General features: G+C 39.0%; 1 protein-coding gene across 8 annotated transcripts, besides 2 other annotated features; it reads left to right on the plus strand.

Annotated features, from left to right (window-relative positions):
- The first annotated feature begins 3046 nt into the window (after positions 1–3046).
- ZKSCAN8 (zinc finger with KRAB and SCAN domains 8) lies at positions 3047–20872 on the plus strand. 8 transcript variants are annotated; one of them, NM_001278119.2, is made up of 7 exons: positions 3295–3441; positions 5743–5836; positions 9728–10236; positions 10895–11036; positions 13257–13348; positions 13673–13796; positions 14468–20872. In NM_001278119.2, exons 3-7 carry the CDS (start codon positions 9820–9822, stop codon positions 15427–15429), a joined length of 1737 nt encoding a protein of 578 aa, NP_001265048.1. In that variant the 5' UTR covers positions 3295–3441; positions 5743–5836; positions 9728–9819; the 3' UTR covers positions 15430–20872. The 8 variants fall into 8 exon arrangements, with proteins under 8 accessions (XP_016866755.1, NP_001265048.1, XP_047275271.1 ...); XM_047419315.1 differs by having other exon boundaries at positions 9731–10236; NM_001278121.2 differs by lacking the exon at positions 3295–3441 and adding an exon at positions 3623–3675 and having other exon boundaries at positions 9728–10250.
- Positions 3307–3426: an enhancer, noted in NCBI's record as "active region_24345". NCBI's record gives its function as "activates an Ori minimal core promoter by ATAC-STARR-seq in GM12878 lymphoblastoid cells {active_cell/tissue: GM12878}" and the evidence as "EXISTENCE:reporter gene assay evidence [ECO:0000049][PMID:35858748]".
- Positions 3437–3556: an enhancer, noted in NCBI's record as "active region_24346". NCBI's record gives its function as "activates an Ori minimal core promoter by ATAC-STARR-seq in GM12878 lymphoblastoid cells {active_cell/tissue: GM12878}" and the evidence as "EXISTENCE:reporter gene assay evidence [ECO:0000049][PMID:35858748]".
- Positions 20873–20963: the final 91 nt, after the last annotated feature.

Genomic DNA, 20963 nt, shown 5'->3' on the forward strand with positions numbered 1-20963 from the left:
TGTGGGGTATTTGTACAAGAAAAGGATGCACTCCAAACTTAACAGTGATTACCCCATATTGAAAATTGTGAAACTTTTACCCTACTTGCAAGCTAACAATTTAACTTGCCACAGTTTTATGGATACTAACAGAAGACACTGGACTCCTGCGTCAGAGACAGAAGACTTTATTACTTAATAACACAGGCATCATAAGCTTTATATTCCCTTGTTCCCAAAGCTTATGTTCCCAAAGCCCACAGAGGGGCCTAAGCTTGGCATTCCCCTGCTAGGATGGAACAGTGGGTTTGCAACCTAGCAGAGGAATGCCAAGCTTAGGAAGCCCAACCTTTGCTCAGCCTTGCCCCAGAATGAGCCATTATCTTTATTATCCTGGTCAGGAAACAACTGTGATCTAGAAGGAGATACAAACATCCTTGAAAACCTAACCTCAAAGAAAAATCTACCATAAGACTAGGAGTAATTTGAGAAGCCATTAAAGAATTATCTCCCAACATTCTAGGTAAATACTATTTGAGGGTGGAGATGTCAGCTTTTAAGAATTTTATATAATATTAATCTTTATCATGTTTCATTTATTTTTAAAAATACAAAAAATAAAAGGCAAGCATAGAAGTTTAAATTTTACTTAGAGATAAGGAACCACTCAGGGTCAGTGATTGGAAGAATGATAATGATATTTAAGGACCACGTCTTGTATAGTTAGGAAGGCTATCTCAAGGCTGTTGCAGTCACATAGGTGTGAAGTAATTAGAACTGAGGATGGTGGTTATATTAATGGAGAAAAGTAACACTTCAAAGGAGAAATCTGGCTCTGATAATTTCTCCTTTATCTCCATGTTTCATTGAGTAAACTAAGGAAGCCTCTCAAGCCTGAATAACTTAGAAATTGGCGATATTATCAACCATTCTAACGGATATGTGGTGGTAACTCATTGAGGTTTTAACTTTGCATTTCCCTGATGAATAATGGTTACTTTTTAGTGTGCATACTGGCCATTCTTTTATCTTTTGTAAAGAAAGTGTTTAAATCTTTTGCCTATTGGTGTTGAATTATCTTATTCATTAAATTGTGAGAGTTCTTTATATATTCTGGATAGTTCTTTGTCAGATAGATGTATTACAAATATTTTTCAGTGTGTAGCTTTTTCTTCACTTTCTTAATGGTGCTTTTTTTGAGAAGATTTAAATTTTGATGAGAATTTAAGTTTAAAATTTTGAAGTCAAATTTATCAGTTTTATCTATTACAATCAGTGTCTGTGTGTCCAGTTTGAGAAAACTACCTATGGCATGACGCTATTTTACTTCCTATGTGTACACAACTTTGTACATAGTATGTGCAGTCATAGTTGTGTGCACATTGAATTTGTACAACTACATATGTGCACAACTTCAGACTTAAAAAAAATTTATTTGTTTATTTATGTTGAGACAGGGTCTTGCTCTATTGCCCAGGCTGGAGTGCAATGGCAGGATCTCAGCTCACTGCAGCTTCTGCCTCCCAGGCTCATGCGATTCTCCCGCCTCAGCCTCTGGAGTAGCTGGGACTACAGGAGCCCACTACCATGCCTGGCTAATTTTTGTATTTTTTGCAGAGATGGGTTTTTGCCATGTTGGCCAGGCTGGTCTCAAACTCCTGAGCTCAGGTGATCCTCCCGCGGCTTCACAAAGTGCTGGGATTACAGGCATGAGCCACCGCGCTCAGCCAAAAAAGTTACTTTTAAAATGTGAAAAAAGAAACTGAAAGTAGAGTTCTAGTCTGTCACCAGTTACTTCCAGTTACCATCCCAGGTGGAAAGCAACAGCTGTGAAATAAAAAGCAAAAATAATTACTTTGAAGGAGTCCAGAAGCACTGTAGCTTCCCAGTGTTTACTATTATTTACTTGTTTTCATGTGATAATTAGATGACAAAACCCTTAAATCAAAACGACTTTGTCAGTACGCAAAATATTGGGGAGTTAGTAATTGGGAAGGGATAGAAATGTTGGTGGTGGCTACCAGCAGGAGCAGATAAAGAGGGAAATTAAGGTGAAAATTGGAGGAGCCCTGAGAACTCAATAATAGGTGGTTGGGAAAGGTGCTGAAGGAAATAAATACATGAGACTTAAACAACAAAAAATAACACTTGCCACAACCTCCACCCCTGAAATCCTATTAGTCTCAAAAGTTAAAAAGCTCTAATGCAACAGGTCTGTAAAGAATGAACACAGGGCCAGGGTGGTGTCTCATGCCTGTAATCCGAGGACTTTGGGAGACTGAGGCAGGAGGATCACTTGAGCCCAGGAGTTCAAGACCAGCCTGGGCAACATAGTGAGACCCCCGCCCCGCCCCGCCACCCCGTTTCTACAAATTTTCTTTTTTAAGCTGAGGGTGGTGCACACCTGTAGTCCCAGCTACTTGGGGGGCTAAGGTGGGAAGACTGCTTGAGCCCAGAAGGTTGAGTCTGCCGTGAGCTATGATCACACCACTACACTCTGCAATAGAGACCCTGTCTCAAAAAAAAAAAAAAAAGGCAAAAAAAGAAAAAAAGACTAACAAAGAAAGAATGAACATAGATTTGTTCCCCATATCTTGTGGTATTAAACCTAGGGTCTACTCTTCAAGCTTACATCATAGGTTTAGCATTAAAACAGCTAAGCAGCAAAGCAGATGCTGTAAGCGATAGAAATTCATTAAGATAGGAAAGAGTGGGAAATATGTAAAGATCCAAAAAGAATATATATTTAATTACGATTTTTTTGAATACTTAATAAAATATGCTATTCCTAAGTGCCATGCCATAGGGATTTCACAAAACTATGAACTGTGATTAGCAGGAATTCCTCATGAAGTTTGTACTCTATGTGAGAGGTCTGGATATGTTTATGAATCGAGAACAGTAAAGTACAGGGTATGTAACGGAGCCAAACGCGAATCCAGTTGGAATCCTAAGGATCCATGAAGTGCTCCCTCCTCCAACACTTTCCCAGCCTCCTATTCACAGCTCCAGCCTCCCCACGTCCGATATCTACCCCCAGGGGACCGTTACTATTGACAGCGAGCGCGCGGAGCTGCATGGGCACACAAGGCGGAGGGGACACCAAGGTCCGTTATTCCCCAGCACGTTCACTGCCCCAGCGACAGCGCAAGCCTGAGGCACGCAGACGCGGGAGGAACCCGAGGCACAGCACACAGCAGGTGAGGGGCGTGGTACTCCGGTACCCTCAGTCGGCCGACCATAGAGCTTGTAGACCTCCAGGACTCCTAGAGAGCTTCCGGAAGTGCCTTTGGGGCAAGATGCGTGCTGGCCGGTGTTGTGCCTCCGCAGATTTAGAAGTTAGTGGCCGGAGGGGCCTGGTCCGAGTACAGCTTTCATCGCCTTTACTCCCCGACCTTCCTTCGAGTCTGTTTATCCGTTGCAGCCTCCCTTCCCCACGACGGGGCGCCTCTGCAACTCACAGTGAGTACGGTCGGGCTCTGGGCCGGAGGAAAGTGGGTGCTTTGTGGCTGGTCCAGGCCGCAGCTGAGGACTGGCCTGAGGGGTCCGGAGAGGGGCCTGTGCGGTGTTCGGCGCCGCGGACCGATTCTGACGCCTTAGTTGCTGTTGCAGGCAGAGTACGTCCCCACGAATTGCCCTTGAACTTTTTGCGAGGGAACCTTTTATGAAGCTTTCTTCATAGATAATCGTGTTGTGGTATGTTTTTGTAGTCGATCTTGTTTATCTTAAAATGGGGAACGCCCCCCCCATGTTATTTTTTATCCAACTATTTCCAGAGTCTGAATTGTTTTCACTTAGCGCTCTTTTGCGTTTAGGTCACAACAAAATTCTCAGTTTTTAAAAAAGACATATTTTGCTTTTGGAAGCCCCGTTTATCCATGGAAACCAATTTTTGCTGTTACTCTTCTTTCTTTAGTGTATTCAGAAACTGGTGGTGTGTTGACTAGATAATTGTACGAAAGTTTTTTTTTTTTTTTAATTTCAGGGTAATTCAGAATTCAACATTATCAGAATGCCTATTTCATTTGTTAAAGCAAACTGAAGTTAGCCAACGAGGAACTCTGGGAGGGCCCCATTTCCAAAACTCTGGTTAGTCATGAGTAATTTTTGTCAGGCTACTTTGACTGCCACCACCACCTTTAAAAACATATTTCTGTTGTTTGTTAGTTCCGTTGAGTATATTTACGTAGCAATCATTGTTTTAGCAAATACATACATGTTTTGAATTTCTGTTGTTTAAATGTAAAATGTGATAGATGTTAATTAAAACTTTCAGCTAATGCAATTTGAGATAACAAAGCATAGTATTGGCTTCACCTACTTTTTCTTGGATTTTAAATCCTGGAAAATGTCTTTTTTGTTTTGTTTTCAGTTCCCAAACATTTCTCAAATTAGACATAGTCTGAAGGAAGAATACATTCCTTCCACAACTATTGAAAAAATAATACTGTTAAAATTGAGTTGTGCCTTCAGCATCTCACAGGATTACAGTATTTAAAATCCAGAGGAAGCTTTAAAGATTGCCTTTTAAACTCATGTAAACTTGACTAGGTGTTCTTTAAGGAGACTATGTAAAAATCAGTCTGTATCCACAAAGTGCTCACCAACTTAATACAGACATGTACGCACAAAACTGAGAGGAAGGTACATACTGGAGTAATTTTGCACTCAGTTATTTATAGGTTGTAATTCTCAAAAACCAGCTGATCAGAGAGGGAAGAGACTTAAAAAAATGGAAAATTAGCCACTAAATAGAATAATCAAGATGAGCAATGGGCAAGACCTGTTGGCTGATTTGGTATAAAAAATGAACAAACCTGATAATTAGCTGGTTTTCATCAGTGTTGTTATTGAGACTTTTTAATACCACATCAACAATATAAAGTTCTTGAATGCTGCGCACTTCACATTAAAATATTTTATAGCCTCCTGTACTGGTAAGTAGTGGGATTGCACCTGTGAATAGACTCTGCACTCAAGCCTGAGCAACATAGTGAGACCCTGTCCCTAAATAATAATAATAATATTTTATAGCCATTATGGATGAGGATTGCTCAGTAATAGATGGCCAGTTGTTCAGTAGTTAAAAATGAACCTTGGCTTTAAGGAAATTTATAAGAAAACATGGTAAGACTACCACTATATAACATCACATTCTAAACAGAATTTATGTCCCATGTATTGACCTTTAAGTTTTTAACATTAAACCATAAGTAGCTATTTTAAGAAAATTTAAGAGTTTGTTTTGATTTGAAAAATTAAATTATTTTAAAATTAGCTAAGACCATTTTAAAATAAATTATCTTAAAATTATAGATAATTTATTCAAACAAAAACAAATTGTCAAAACCAAATTGATTACCCTTTCTCAACAAAATCTCAGCATCTTCCTCAAATTCACTCTTCCCCCAAATCTCACTATTCTAGCAAATTCCTCCACTTTCCTGTAAAGTCATAATCAATGAACTATACCCCCAATGTTAATTGATATATTTAACCATATCTTTTGCTCCTTGGTTCTTCTGATCTGTAGTTTACTCTCCACCCTGTTGTTCCCGGCCTTGTCTAACTTGAAAAATAATTTTCAAATTCCCTTTCTTTTCTGTACACACTCTCTATGTAGGATTTGTTTGTATGTTTGTTTGTTTTTAACCTTCCTGGCATTCTTGGATGGCCTTTGAGTCTGTGAACTCTGCCGAAATTGAGTATACAATTTTGTATCTGTGGACATTTTGCTGGAAAGAAGTTCTGTGTTTTCTTTAGGTTGAAGAGTCTATAAACCAACCCCCCTCGCCCCGTGCCACAACTCCAAAAACTGAAAAGATAAGCACTGCCTTGATGATCCGTATGGGGAACTGTATGTACAGTAATCTGATTTTTTTCCTAAGTACCTATCTCTTCTTTGTGGACTATAGGTCTCTGGTTTTATCTTGATGTTAGCATCTCATGACAACTGGTTTAGGGTATGCTACCTTTACTTACACTCTTCTTCATTCTCTACAGTATCTTTGAAATACAAAGATAATGGTCACCTCTGTCAACAAACATTTGCAATAAGGCCATGGCCACATTCTCACAATGTGATAAGTCCTATATTTGGACCATGTTAAAAATGCTTTGGTAGGAATGACAAATGGCAGGGGGATGACAGAGAAGAACTCATGAAAAAGGTAATAGATAAATTAGAGTTAAGAGTTGAATGATTTTAGGCCGGGCACAGTGGCTTACGCCTGTAATCCCAGCACTTTGGGAGGCCGAGGCGGGCAGATCACGAGGTCAGGAGATCGAGACCATCCTGGCTAACACAGTGAAACCCCATCTCTACTAAAAATACAAAAAATTAGCCGGGTGTGGTGGAGGGCGCCTGTAGTCCCAGCTACTCGGGAGGCCGAGGCAGGAGAATGGCGTGAACCCGGGAGGCGGAGGTTGCAGTGAGCCGAGTTCGCGCCACTGCACTCCAGCCTGGGCGACAGAGCAAGACTCCATCTCAAACAAAAAAAAAAAGAGTTGAATGGTTTTAGCTGGACCAAGATTTATCAACCTTGGCATTGACACTTTGGGCCAAATAATTCTTTGTGGTGGGGGCTGTGTTGAGCATTGTAGGATCCCTGGCCTCTATGTACAAGATAATAGTAGCACCCCTTACCCCCAAGTTGTGACAACAAAAATATTTACAGACATTATGAAAGGTCCCTGGGATGGGGGTAAGGACAATATTGCCATCAGTTTTGAACCACTGAGCTAGAGTAAAGAACTCTGTAGTAGAATGGAAGTATGAGAAAGCCACAGCCCAGAAAGGCTTTATGTAAGTGAGTTTAAAGTAGATATAGCCAGCCAGGTTTACATTCATAAAGGGCCTTGCATACCATGCTAAAAAATTTGGTCCCTATTGAAATATTTTCAGGAGGTGAGTCATGTTAGTCATATTACATATTTTTAAAAAATCTCTGGCAGTACAGGGCTACTGTAAAAAAAAAAAGTATCATAAACCTGGTAGTTTAATAGAATAGACACTTACTGTCTCATAATTAGGAAGGCTAGATGTCCAAAATCAGAGTGTCGCCAGACCCATGCTCTTCTAGCTTCTTGTTTTTACTGACAAACTTTGGCATTCCTTGGCTTGCAGCTGCACAACTCCATCTCTGCTTCTGTAGTCACTTAGCTCTCATTCATCTGTGTGTGTGTGTCTTCACATGACCTTCTCCTTTCTCAGAGTCTGTCTCTGTGTCTTTTTTCCTTTTAAAAGTGTGCCAGTCATATTGGTTTAATGGCCTACCCATTCCAGTATAACTTCATCTTAACTTGATTACATCTGCAAAGCCCCATTTCCAAATAAGGTCACATCCACAGGTACTAGAGGTTAGAATGTCCGCATATCTTTTTGAGGGACACATTTCAACACACAGTAGGCAATATTGTGGAACATGAATGGGAAAAAAGCATAACCAAAGTTACCATTGCAGTTCTAGGCAAGAGATGATGTCTATACCAAGGATGGAAACCATAGACATATATTTCACAAAGAAATAGGATCATGAAATTGAACTTTTTTCGGACATCAGGTCTTGTTTCTAAATCTCACTCTTACAAGAAATATAAACATGTTCTGTGTTTGCAATTGTAAATATGGCTAATGTTCTTCGATTCTATCAATAAGATAAAAGATATGGACCTTTGCCCATGGGGAAAATACAATTAAGTTTTGAAGTCAGAATTCCTTTGGAACTAATAAATATACAGTTATGGGAAAAGTAACATTAAAGCAATACACATTTAAGTAACAGAGGTATAGAATGAGAGGAAAATAATTTCCAATTGGAGTCACCAGGAAAGGATTTTTAAAGGCAACAGTATTTTATCTTGTCCTTTAAGAAAGTAGTGTCGGTACTGATGAAAGAAGTCAAAGAAGACTTCAACGGAGAGACACATTGTGTTCACGGAATGGAAAACTCACTGTTGTTGAGATATCAGTTGTCCCTAAAATGAGCTATGGATTCAATACAAATCCAATTCAATAATTTTTTGTAGAAATTAATACACTGATTCTAAAATGTGTATCAAAAGACAACAGAACTAGGAAAGTGAAAATAATTTTGAAAACGAACAACAAAGTTGCAAGACCCACCTACTTGATTTCAAGATTTTAAAAGTTACACAATCAAGACTATTCTGTATTGGTGAAAGAATAGATGTATAGGTCAATAAACAGAACAGAGATTCCAGAAATAGACCCTTACATATACATACATATAGTGAACTGATATTTGACAAATATACAAAGACAGTTAAGTAGATAAAGGAGAATCCTTAAAATGAACCTCCATCCATACCTCAAATTCTATATAAAAATTAACTCAAAATGGATCATAGGCCTAAATGTAAAACCTAAAACTATAAAACTTTTAGTAAAAAACAGGAGAAAATATTTGTAACCTTGGATTAAGCAAAGATTTCTTAGATATGACATCAAAAGCACAGTCAATTAAAAAAATGAACTTTTTTTCTTCAAAAGGCCCTATGAAAAGGATGAAAAAGAGGGAATACTTGCAAATTACATATCTCATAAAGGACTTGTGTCCAGAGGATGTAAGAAACTCAAAACTTAATTTTAAAATAACTAAATTTAAAAATGGGCAGAAGTTTTGAACAAATACTTCACTAAAGAAGATATATAGATGTTAAATAAGCACATAAAAAGATGCTCAACATTATTAGTCAGTAGAGAAATGCATACTAAAGCCATATGAGATATTAAAACCATAATGAGTTGCCACTACACATACACCTATTAGAATATCTAAAATTAAAAACAAAAACAATATCAAGTGCTAGTCAGATTGGAAAACAGTTTTGCAGTTTCTTATAAAGTTATACATATATGTATTTTATGACACAGCAATTTTACCTCTGAATATTTGCCCAAATAAAATGAAAACTATATTCACACCAAAACTCATGCAGATGTTCATAGTGGCTTTATTCATAGTGATTAAAAAACAAAAACAACTCAGATATTGTTCAACTGGGAAATGGATAAACATTTAAACATTCCCACTCCAGAATCTCACATAAATAAAATCATATAGTATGTAGCCTTTTGAGTGTGGGAGTAGACTTTTGGGTTGTAGTTGTCAATAGGGCATCCAGGTTCCTTGGAGTGCTCCATAGAGAGTTTCTGAGTTGGAGGTCACGTCCATAGTAGAGGAAGTTAACCTTGAGATAGGAGGAAAGATGAGGGGCACAGGTAGGATAAGGAATGTTAGGTGGAGAAGAGCAAAGTGTTAGGAAAGTTTTTGACAATACCTTGAATTAGATTATGTAGAAATTAGTCTCATCTGTTAAGAGTAAGGGAAAGGTTGAGAGCTGAAGCGTGTAGAACCAGATTAGTACAGCTGGTGTATCAAAGACTAAAAGGGGTTAAATGAGCAGCCCTGAAGGCCAGCTGAGATTAAACACAAAATTTCAACTAGACCCAGTCTACATGGTTTCCTGACTTTGCTTAGCCATGTTCCACATCCCCAAACAGGGTGATGAAAGCAGAAGGAAGGGGTTTTTCTATGGATGGGTTTGGCATGGCTGGCATGACAGAAAGTTAAGGAAGTAAGAAGTTATTTCTGGAACAGTGGGGAGGATCATTTAATTGGCCGAGCCATGAAGTCCGTGTCATACTAAGGAACTTGTTAAGATACCATAGTTAGTTACAATGACTTTTGACTTGCCTTAACACTATCATATTTTCTTCATGAAGAAGTACCCTTAGAAAGAGGCCCTCAGAAGAGTCTTCTCTTAAGAAGATAAAGAAGGTAGTGGAAACGAACTTCCTGAGCTTTTCAGGCTCTAATGGCTGAAGAATCAAGAAAGCCTTCAGCCCCATCCCCACCAGACCAGACTCCTGAAGAGGATCTTGTAATCGTCAAGGTAGAGGAGGATCATGGTTGGGACCAGGAATCTAGTCTGCATGAAAGTAACCCTCTTGGCCAAGAAGTGTTCCGCCTGCGCTTCAGGCAGTTACGCTACCAGGAGACACTAGGACCCCGAGAAGCTCTGATCCAACTACGGGCCCTTTGCCATCAGTGGCTGAGGCCAGATTTGAACACCAAGGAACAGATCCTGGAGCTGCTGGTGCTGGAGCAGTTCTTGACCATCCTACCTGAGGAGCTCCAGACACTGGTTAAGGAACATCAGCTAGAGAACGGAGAGGAGGTGGTGACCCTATTAGAGGATTTGGAAAGGCAGATTGATATACTAGGACGACCAGTAAGTAGAAGGAGGTATGCGTGCTATGACTGTGGGAGTCCTGGAAGCTTGGTAGAGGGACATAGGCATCACAGTGGGAGAGCAGATGCTTAGCATCAGTTTCTGTTGGATAAGGATGACAATAGTTTTAGTGTAGTATGACTTGTAGAGTTCTTTTTACTTTTGTAAAGGATATAAATCCATTTTGTTTTTGTCGTCATAACATCCCTACGACTGTATTGTTCTTGTTTGCCAGATGGGAACTTGATGCATAGGAAGCTTAAGTTAATTTTTCAGGGGTATCCAAATAATTAAAGGTAAATTTGAGACCAGAAATCAGGCTTTCTAGTTCCTTATTAAAAGATTTTTCTACTGCATAGCACTGCTTTAAGTTTGTTGTTTTCCTCCTTCCTCTGCCTTAGGAGTACAAAATATTGGTGTTCTGTGTAACAGGGAAGGCATCAGCAGAAATCTTTTCCTTTAGTACTAAGCAAAAATGATGCCTTTCTTTCTGTGCTCATTACGTATTCGTGTTCCTTACTGTCCCTAAGAAGTGAGGAAGATTCTGCTGCTTCCTTCCCCAAGCATATATCCCTGTAGATGTGTTCGTGGTCCTCTTTCATTGTTCATTACATTTCGCAAAGGGATTCCTTATTATCCAACTGTCTGTTGTTTCCAGGTCTCAGCTCGCGTACATGGACATAGGGTACTCTGGGAGGAGGTAGTACATTCAGCATCTGCACCAGAGCCTCCAAATACTCAGCTCCAATCTGAGGCAACCCAACATAAATCTCCAGTGCCCCAAGAGTCACAAGAGAGAGGTGAGTAGCCAGATTTCATTGATGATAAGGGGGGGAAGTACAAATAAAAGTCCATTTGGGATACCTATCTAGTTCCTGAAGAACCAGGAACTAAAATCCTGTTTACAGACCAGTCCCAAAGTCTGTGTTTAAATGTTTAGGCTTCAAATATAGATTATTCTTTCTAGTGGTAAACTCATGAACAAATTAAATAATTTGACTTTTTTTTTTTTAATTTTTTTTCCTTTTATTATTATACTTTAAGTTTTAGGGTACATGTGCACATTGTGCAGGTTAGTTACATATGTATACATGTGCCATATTTCTGTTACCACAGTACATTTACAACATACATTTTTGAGGTTATGCTGGTATTGTCATGCCACTTTATTTGGAAATATTTCAGTATGTATTTCCTCAGACGAGCATTTCTTAGGTAACTTAAATAAATAAATTCCTAAATTTATCACAATTAAGAAATGTAGTATTGCTACAATACTAACCTAGGCCATAGTTCATATTTTGACAGTTGCCCCAATTATGTTCTTTCTGGTTCAGAGTCTAGTCTGGCGTCACACTTTGTGGTTAGTTGTCATGGCTGTTTAGTCTCCTTTACTTTGGAATAGTTCCTCAACCTTTCTTTTTTTTTGAAGAGTACAGGTGTGTTATTTTGTAGAATGGCTGCAGTTTGGATTTGCGTGATGTTTGATCATGTTTACATTGAGGTCATATATATTTGGCAGGAACACCTCACCCTGCCAAGGATACATGACCTAAATCTTAACAAGAGATGTTGTACTCCTTCTTAGGGGTACAACAGGAATTTGTCCTATTATTGGTGGTGTTATCTTTGATGACTTGGTTAAGGTTATTCTTGCAGGGTTAATCATTGTATAGTTACTATTTTTCCCTTTGTAACTAATAAGTAATTTGTGGAAGATACTCTTGAGTGTATTTAAATATCTTAGTCCTCATTAAACTTTGTTGCTAAAACACTAGTTTTAGTGTTCATTGGTACTTCTTGACTGACTTAGTGATTACTAGAATGGTTATGAAATAGTGATTTTCTAACTCTGTCATTCCTTCTACATTTCTTTATTGTAAAGGAGAGTGCTCCCTTCTCCCAATTTTATTATTTTTTATTTATCAGTATGGACTCAAATTCGTATTTATTCCATAAATATTCTGTTACTGTCTTTATTTTGTTTTTGTTTTGTCTTTGAGACAGAGTCTCACTCTGTCATCCAGGCTGGAGTACAGTGGCACGATCTCAGCTCACTGCAGCTTCTGCCTCCCGGGTTCCAGCGATTCTTAATCCTCAGCTTCCCCAGTAGCTGGGATTACAGGTGCACGCCACCATGCCTGGCTAATTTTTGTATTTTTGTAGAGACGAGGTTTCACTGTGTTGGCCAGGCTGGTCTCGAACTCCTAGCCTCAAGCGATCTGCCCACTTCAGCCTCCCAAAGTGCTGGGATTACAGCCATGAGCCACTGTGCTCGGCCACTGTCTTTATTTTGCTAAATCATCTCAGATTTGGCCATAGAAGGCCCCTTCAGTCTGGCTCTTGTATCCTCTTGACATTTTCCCATTGTTTTTTTGAGAATTTTTTTACTTTATTGCAGAATGAGGTGTTCCAGTCTCATCTTCCCCTGCATTTCATATTTTTTCATTAATGTGATTTAGAGTAGTTTATAAATATGAATTTTTAATATTTCTAAAGAAGCATTAAAACACTTAATACTTCTTGTCTAAAGTCCTAAAGCTTGTTACCTGAGATACAGTAATCTATATTTTAATAATAAGCCGTTTAATATCTATAGAAAGCAAATACTGGGAGCCATAGTAGACATTTCAGAAAGGTAATTAATTAATAGAGACTGGTTGATTCTGATACTTGGTTTGCCAAGAGATTAGGACCTAAGGAAATACTGTATACAGCCACAAAGACAGAAGTAGTTTTGATGGTAGAGAAGAAATTGAAAAGCGATTCCTGTTAGGAAACCAGTATACTTTCTATTTTTGAGTGTAACTTCAGTCTGACTTCAGGGACATCGGGGTGCGTATGTTTTGTGGGGCAGCCATAGATATGGCCCCAGAATCCAAGATATCAGCACTTCATGTGCAAAATCTTTGGCATACATGTATATCTGCTGAAATAAAAATAATTTGGAATGGGTGAGTGCCAGCTCCCACAACCACAGGACAGGACTGGTCTCATTCATAGCTCCTTTCTCCTCTCAGCCATGTCTACTTCCCAGAGTCCTACTCGTTCCCAGAAAGGAAGTTCTGGAGACCAGGAAATGACAGCTACACTTCTCACAGCAGGGTTCCAGGTGAGTTGTGCTCCTTCTCACTGAAACGCCATAGCTGTGCTTGTCAGTGTTTGTGGCATCTGCCCTATATCTTGACTGTCTAGTTTGTAGCAGTACCTACCCAAAAAGTTGTCCCAAAAATTCTTTTGCCTAGGGACAGATTGATCCTGAATTTCCCCCAGTAAATCTCATGCATTTTCCTCTTCTTCCTAGCTATTCAGATCCCTTTACATAGTACATTCCCAAGTTGTAATTCTCTCCCAATACTGGTGGATCTCTCAAGCTCTATAGGTTTGAGCTGTGGAACAGTCCCAGTCCCCAAATGGGGATCTTGTTTTGTTTCAGACTTTGGAGAAGATTGAAGACATGGCTGTGTCCCTTATTCGAGAGGAGTGGCTTCTTGATCCATCACAGAAGGATCTGTGTAGAGATAACAGGCCAGAAAATTTCAGAAACATGTTCTCCCTGGGTAAGGAGAGGTGTGGTTATTATTGTCATTTTAGATTTTTTGTTTGTTTGTTGTTTATGTGTATAGTAGCTACAGCCTTTCTGAAAGACATAGTTAAGTTTAACTCAGGATCCAGCAGAGGGATATGATGTTGAGATTTCTTGAAATCTTACGTGAAACTTTTGTTCTCCTGTCCAGAACTTCCTTACATTTTGTACCAGGGTACTGGCGTTTTTGCCAGTTGGAAATTGACATCTCAGAGGTGCTCTCTGAGTTCATATATTTCTTCTCCAAGTTGTCATGGGATTCCTACATATATTTTTCTCACATAAATTAATTGTATCTCCTCCCTTTTGATGACTGGGCATTTTCCCATTTCTGTCCTGCTCATTAGTTCTTTTAGTAGTTCCATATTCCTCTCCCCAACTTTCACCTCACTTCAGTTCATCCTTTCCTGACTTTAGTTCCCCTTCCAATTAACTCTCTTTTTTTAATGGTACCTCTTTCCCAGTTGACTAGCTCATATTAAGCAAGGTCACTATTAAGAAGCTATTTTGGAGACAGAAGTTTTGTGTTTACTTATAGCTGTTCATGTGTACTTTCCTTTTCCCCTATCTTCAGTTCCTTTCTCCTAGCATAAAGAATAGGTTGTGACATTGGCTTGATGTTTGTTTATTACATTTTTATTTCAGGTGGTGAGACCAGGAGTGAGAACAGGGAATTAGCTTCAAAACAGGTAATATCTACTGGAATCCAGCCACATGGAGAGACAGCTGCCAAATGCAACGGGGATGTTATCAGGGGTCTTGAGCATGAAGAAGCCCGAGACCTTCTGGGCAGATTAGAGAGGCAGCGGGGAAATCCCACACAAGAGAGACGACATAAATGTGATGAATGTGGGAAAAGCTTTGCTCAGAGCTCAGGCCTTGTTCGCCACTGGAGAATCCACACTGGGGAGAAACCCTATCAGTGTAATGTGTGTGGTAAAGCCTTCAGTTACAGGTCAGCCCTTCTTTCACATCAGGATATCCACAACAAAGTAAAACGCTATCACTGTAAGGAGTGTGGCAAAGCCTTCAGTCAGAACACAGGCCTGATTCTGCACCAGAGAATCCACACTGGGGAGAAGCCATATCAGTGCAATCAGTGTGGGAAGGCTTTCAGTCAGAGTGCGGGCCTTATTCTGCACCAGAGAATCCACAGTGGAGAGAGACCCTATGAATGTAATGAGTGTGGGAAAGCTTTCAGTCATAGCTCACACCTCATTGGACATCAGAGAATCCACACTGGGGAGAAGCCCTATGAGTGTGATGAGTGTGGGAAAACCTTCAGGCGGAGCTCACATCTTATTGGTCATCAGAGGAGCCACACTGGGGAGAAACCCTACAAATGCAATGAGTGTGGGAGGGCCTTCAGTCAGAAGTCAGGCCTTATTGAACATCAGAGAATCCACACTGGAGAAAGACCCTATAAATGTAAAGAATGTGGGAAAGCTTTCAATGGGAACACTGGTCTCATTCAACACCTGAGAATTCACACAGGGGAGAAGCCCTACCAATGTAATGAGTGTGGGAAAGCCTTTATTCAGAGGTCAAGTCTCATTCGACATCAGAGAATCCACAGTGGTGAAAAATCTGAATCCATAAGCGTTTAGGAACAACATCAGTTAGAGTTTGAGCATTATTCAGCATTAGGGAAACCACACACTGGTGAGAGGTCTTTCAGTGTACTAAAAGGCAGAAAGGTCATCACAACTTTAGTGTCAGAATCTATAGTGGTGGCAAAGTTAGGATAGCTCTTTAGTAATTTGGGCCCAGTGCCTTGGTGAAGGTTGATTAGCTTGACTGTCTTTGAAAGTATCTGATGGAGCTCCTGATGACCTAATGTATCCTTTAGAAATTTAAAATAGCATTAGAGCAAGTTGCTTGTCATGGCTTGAAGAGCTTAACTTTGTCTTTTGGGTGAGTAGCTATAGGTTTGAGAGAGGCTGGCTACTCCTAGTTCCTGTGCTTCTTCCCATCTCCTGTGATCCCCCTCTCCCATTTATTCCCTTGAAGGTGCCCTTGTATTCCTAATCTGATCTAAGAAGCTGCTGTAGAGTCAGAAGTAGCTTCTGTGTGAAACTTATATTTGTATGTAGCTTTCTAGGAAAATTTTACAGACACTTAAAGTATTTATGCTTAAGTGTGCATTTTTTTATTCTAATATTCCTTCTAGTCAGTGGAAATTTGTATTCCCATACAAACTCAGAATGCTATATTTTTAACAGCACTCCAGCATTTTTCTTCATGTATCACCTTCACTGACTCCATTGAGTCATTGAGCATCTGTACATATCCTTCACCACCCCCAGTCCCAGCACCTGTGTCAGTAAAGAAAGTGGACACATTAGTAATGGTTATGGGAGTAATACAGAGAAAGAGGTGAGTGGAGACTCAGCCCAGCTGCTCTTGAGCTTGGATAGTTATACATTTTGGTGACTTCTGACTCTCCTTCCACCTCCCCACTGTACACTGTGGTACAGATAGTTGGCACTATCCTAGTTATGGCATCAGGTAGGAGAAGGAGACGAAGATGCTTTAGGAAGATAAAAACCTTACAAAGAATGTATACTCATCTTTTTTGGCCCATTACAATACTGCTTTCTCAGGTTCTTAACAGCCTGTGCAAACTCCCTGACTAGATGGTCTGTCACTCCTATCATTACCTTGCACCCATCTCTTTAGATGGCCTCAGCACCTCACTCGTTATTCTCCATCTGTTTCTTGCCATTAGTTTATATGACTTTAATATCCACAGTGGTAATCTAATACCTTACCTCACAGGTTTTCATTCTTTTGAACTCTGGTGCACTCCATCTGTAATCCATGTCTATAATCTACCAACAAAGATGTACTCTTAAACTCAGTATCACCAGGCACTATATTTCATCTTTGAGGCTTTTGTTATACCAAGGAATACTATATAAAGTAATGAGACTGGTTTAAAGTAACATGCCAGAACTTACGCATCCAATGTGGGTTGTCACTTGTTATTCCCAAGTACTATTATTCCATACTACTATATTCTTCCAAATATTTGGAACACTCTTAGAATTCCCATTTAATAAACCATATGAGAAAACCCTCTATTACTCTTACACTTTAGTTTTACCATTTGAGTAGCCACTTATTCACCAGAGTTGGAATTGAGAAATTTTGGGCTTTCCAAAATTAACCTTTAAACTTAAAATTGATTACATTGAGCCTATTCAGAAAAAAAATTATATAGGTTCTGATGAAAGCTTCATAATTTCACCCTGTGACTATCCTGAAAAGAAATAATAATCATTTTATGATTGATGGGCCAAAAAAAGCAATCAAAGTCTTACGTCATAGAGGACCACCTTTTGGATCATAAATTCTTTCCCTATAACATTCCTTCTCTGCCTCTCTATGGCCCACTTTGACCACTAACAACATCAGAATTATCTACATCAATTTCATTGAGCCATTGGTGAATGAAGACACCCATCACTTGTCATGTTGGTTTCCAACAGTCCTTTCGATTATCCTTTATTTTCTTATCCTCCCTTCTCTTGTTTCTTTTATTTATAAGTTACCATTCCTAGTTTCTTTGTACTTGAAATTTTAAGAAACCAGAAACAAGTAAATCTGGTTGTATCTAGATCTTTGCTCTGTGTTTCAGTTGTGCCTTACCCTCTGTAAGATACTGATTCTTCCTGGGGCCAGTATTACCTTGTATGCAAATATTACATATGATGGGTGCATTGTCAGAGGGAAAATATATGTGTATGTACACATGTGTATGTACACACACACACACACCTGCCATACACTTTAGAAGAACGCTTCTCTTCTATTCCAATAAAAAGTCCTTTTAGCAATGCAACATATTAACAAAATTGGGTGCATTCAGGGTGGTATGGCCATAGACCAGAGCAACACATTGAAATGTATACAGATGTACTAGCTAAAGTCTCTTTATGTGTCAGTATTAAGAGTAATATGTAGCCAGATTACTTAAATCTCAGAATTACTAAGCATGTGGCATAAATTTGGAGAAAATAATATGACTAGAAAAATTAGTGTTATATTGGGTGTGAGAAAAGACTGTGTCTTGAAAGAATTATCAAAGCTGATACAGCACATATACAGAATTAGCCAAATGGTATAAGACAATAGAAAAAGGCTGTGGATTCTTTGAGGACATCACTAGAAATCATTCTTTGTCTCAAGTTCACACTCTTAGCATAGAATATTATTGACTAGGCTGTATGACATTTTGAGCTCTTAACTGTGAATGGCATTCATTAAGCTCCTTTATCCTATAGATTCTATCTTTATGTTCATCTGAAATGAACTATTCATCAGTACTTTCTCCTCCCATCCTAAGCTTCTCATTTTAGGAACTGACATGATAAGGTGGTTCTTTCATAACTCTAATGCCATCCAACATAGCCCTGGGAGAGGCATGTTAGGTTTCAGAGATTTTCTCCATGGAGCAAGGTGCAGTGCTAGAATATGGTGGTTGATTCCCAAACAGAGCAGTTAACTTTACTCTTGGTTCTGAGTCTCCAAATAATAATAGCCGACGTTTATTGAGCACTTACTATGTGCCCAACCCTGTTATGCCTTTCTCAGGCTCATGATAAATGTATTAGTCTGTTCTCATGCTGCTATTAAAGACATACCTGACACTGGGTAATTTATAAAGGAAAGAGGTTTAATGGACTCAGTTCCACATGGCTGGGGACGCCTCACAATCATGGTGGAAGGCAAGGAGGAGCAAATCATGTCTTATACATGGATGGCAGCAGGCAAAGAGAGAACTTGTGCAGGGGAACTCTTTATAAAACCGTCCGATCTTGTGAGACTTATTCACTATCACAAGAACAGCACAGGAAAGTTCTGCCCCCGTGATTCAATTACCTCCCACTTGGTCCCACCCACGACACGTGGGAATTGTGGGAGCTACAATTCAAGATGAGATTTGGATGGGACACAGCCAAACCATATCAATAGGTATTATTTTATCCCCCATTTTATAAATGAGGAAACGGAGGCTTAGTTGAGTGAGCTGACCAATATCACCCAGCCAGTATGTGATAAAACTGATTCTGACCCACACAGTTTGATTCTAGAGCCTGTTCTGACTACTGTGCTAAGGTGTGTATAATGAACATGGTAATTCTAACCAGCTTTTTAAAAATATGTAGCGCTTGTCATGAGAGGTACTGGGGAAAAGAATGTGCAGTAGAGTGCAAATACATTACAATTACTGGAAAATTGGTGGAAAATGCTTTTTGGGGTTACAATTATATCATTTTTAAGTGTTGATGCTTTGTAGTACTACAAAGCTAAATTGTGCAAACAAAACATATTTAACAGAGTAATTGGGAGGATAAAGCAATAATAAATTCAAATATATTTTTCTCCAAACTGCCAAAGGGAAAGTAGAATTGTGGAGGGAAATGAAATATCCATGTACCAGGCCAGGCAGATGGTCAGTTAGGATGACAATAGTAAGTTCATCTACAGCATAAAATGTGAAATGCTTTCATCCTCATTGCCCATTTCCAACTACCATTCTGTTTCTCCTCTATTGTTCATGGTTTTTCAAACATATCTTTGATTTTTCAACCCCCCTTTTTCATTAATCTGTTCTTAAAACTTCTTTTTACTGGCTTTCATACTTAGCATTCCAGTGAAATGTTCTTAGACTCACCAGTGGACAAATAATAAGGCCTTTTTTTATTATTATTTCTTGTCTTTTTTGATCTAATTTATATTTTATATTGTTGAATTCTCCCTCCTTTGGCTTGTGGGATCCTTTTTCTCTAATATCTGTCTTTCTTTTTTTAGTTGATCTTTCCACCCACTCCCCTTTCTCCTCTTCTCCACTGAGAATAATCTCCCTGTCTTTTATTCACTTCATTTTCTATACTCCTATTTATCCATTTTGATTGTTTATACCTACTATTTGTATTCGAATGACTTCATTTTTCCCACCCTGTGGGTCAGTTTGTGACTTTTGGAATTTTCCACAGGTACCTGTACAACTTGATATTTGAAAACAGGATTCATCACCATATATCCCCAGCCCCCGTTTTCTTTTTAAACAGGCCTCATTGCGTAATTCCTTTGCCCTGAAAAGTGTCACCACCTTTATATTTTTACCCCAGCCTTGGAGTTATCTTTTTCTGCTCTCCATTCTCCATGTCCAAAAACTTGCTGTCAGTCCAGTTTTTAATCAGTTTTCTCCTTGAGGCTTGATCTCCCATTTCTCTCATCCCATTATAGCTTTTCATGTAGATCTGAGGCCCAGGTTACTGTAATTCTTTTTTTTCCAATTTCCTTGCTCCCAGGATCCCCATCTTGTATAAAGTTTCTAAGGTGCTCCTCCTCAAACTCCATTTTTACAATATCCGTATTGTAAAATTTTCATTTTCAGTAACACCCAGTAGATAATTTTTCAAAGACGATCCTCCTCAAACACCCATTTTTACAATATCTCTATTGTAAAATTTCATTTTCACTAAGTAACACCCAGTAGATAATTCCTATGGAGCAGTGGTGTTCCAAATTCTCCATTACCTCTATGCCTAATATTCATCAGCCTTCATTACTCTCTAGCATATTCACCTTGATTCAACAGATTCAAACTTCCTACAGCCTTCTACTGATGTCTTACAAGCTCTTGCCTCTGTGCCTTTCTCATGCTATTCTTTTTGCTTAGATTGCTCTTTGGTCCCAGCTCATGTTCATCACTCCCTTCAAAGCCTTTCTTCCTTTATATCTTCTGACTGAGCTCTCCCTGATTGACATCACCTCATGCGATGACCTCCCTCATTCTGTGCTGCCTCAGCACTTATCTTTTGAGTTTGTACTGTGGTCCATGTACTTACTAATATGTTGCTTTGTAATTATTTTCTAGCACTCTGTGTTACAGTTTCATATTTGTATTTATTTCCAAAATTAAATTGTAAGCTCCTTGAGGGCAGGAATAATAACTTTTACATTTGTATCTCTGCACCCCCGAGTGCCTAGTATAGTGCTGAGCACATAGTAGGCGTTTAATAAATGCTTGTTGAAGTATTGTGTGGATTATTTGTGGTGGTATCTACAGAAATTTTTAAGCTGTTTTCAAGAATGTCTCTTACCACTTTGGGTGCTCAAAAATGTACAG

The sequence above is a fragment of the Homo sapiens genome, chromosome 6 (assembly GCF_000001405.40).
Source record: "Homo sapiens chromosome 6, GRCh38.p14 Primary Assembly".
In the NCBI taxonomy this organism is placed as follows: Eukaryota; Metazoa; Chordata; class Mammalia; order Primates; family Hominidae; genus Homo; species Homo sapiens.

Bases quoted from the DNA above. Each gene is read 5' to 3' on its own strand.
- ZKSCAN8 (XM_017011266.3), top strand. From the start codon at position 9,820: ATGGCTGAAGAATCAAGAAAGCCTTCAGCCCCATCCCCACCAGACCAG. The intron at 11,037-13,256 runs GTGAGTAGCCAG...TTCTCCTCTCAG, and splicing joins CCAAGAGTCACAAGAGAGAG to CCATGTCTACTTCCCAGAGT. The intron at 13,349-13,672 runs GTGAGTTGTGCT...GTTTTGTTTCAG, and splicing joins TTCTCACAGCAGGGTTCCAG to ACTTTGGAGAAGATTGAAGA.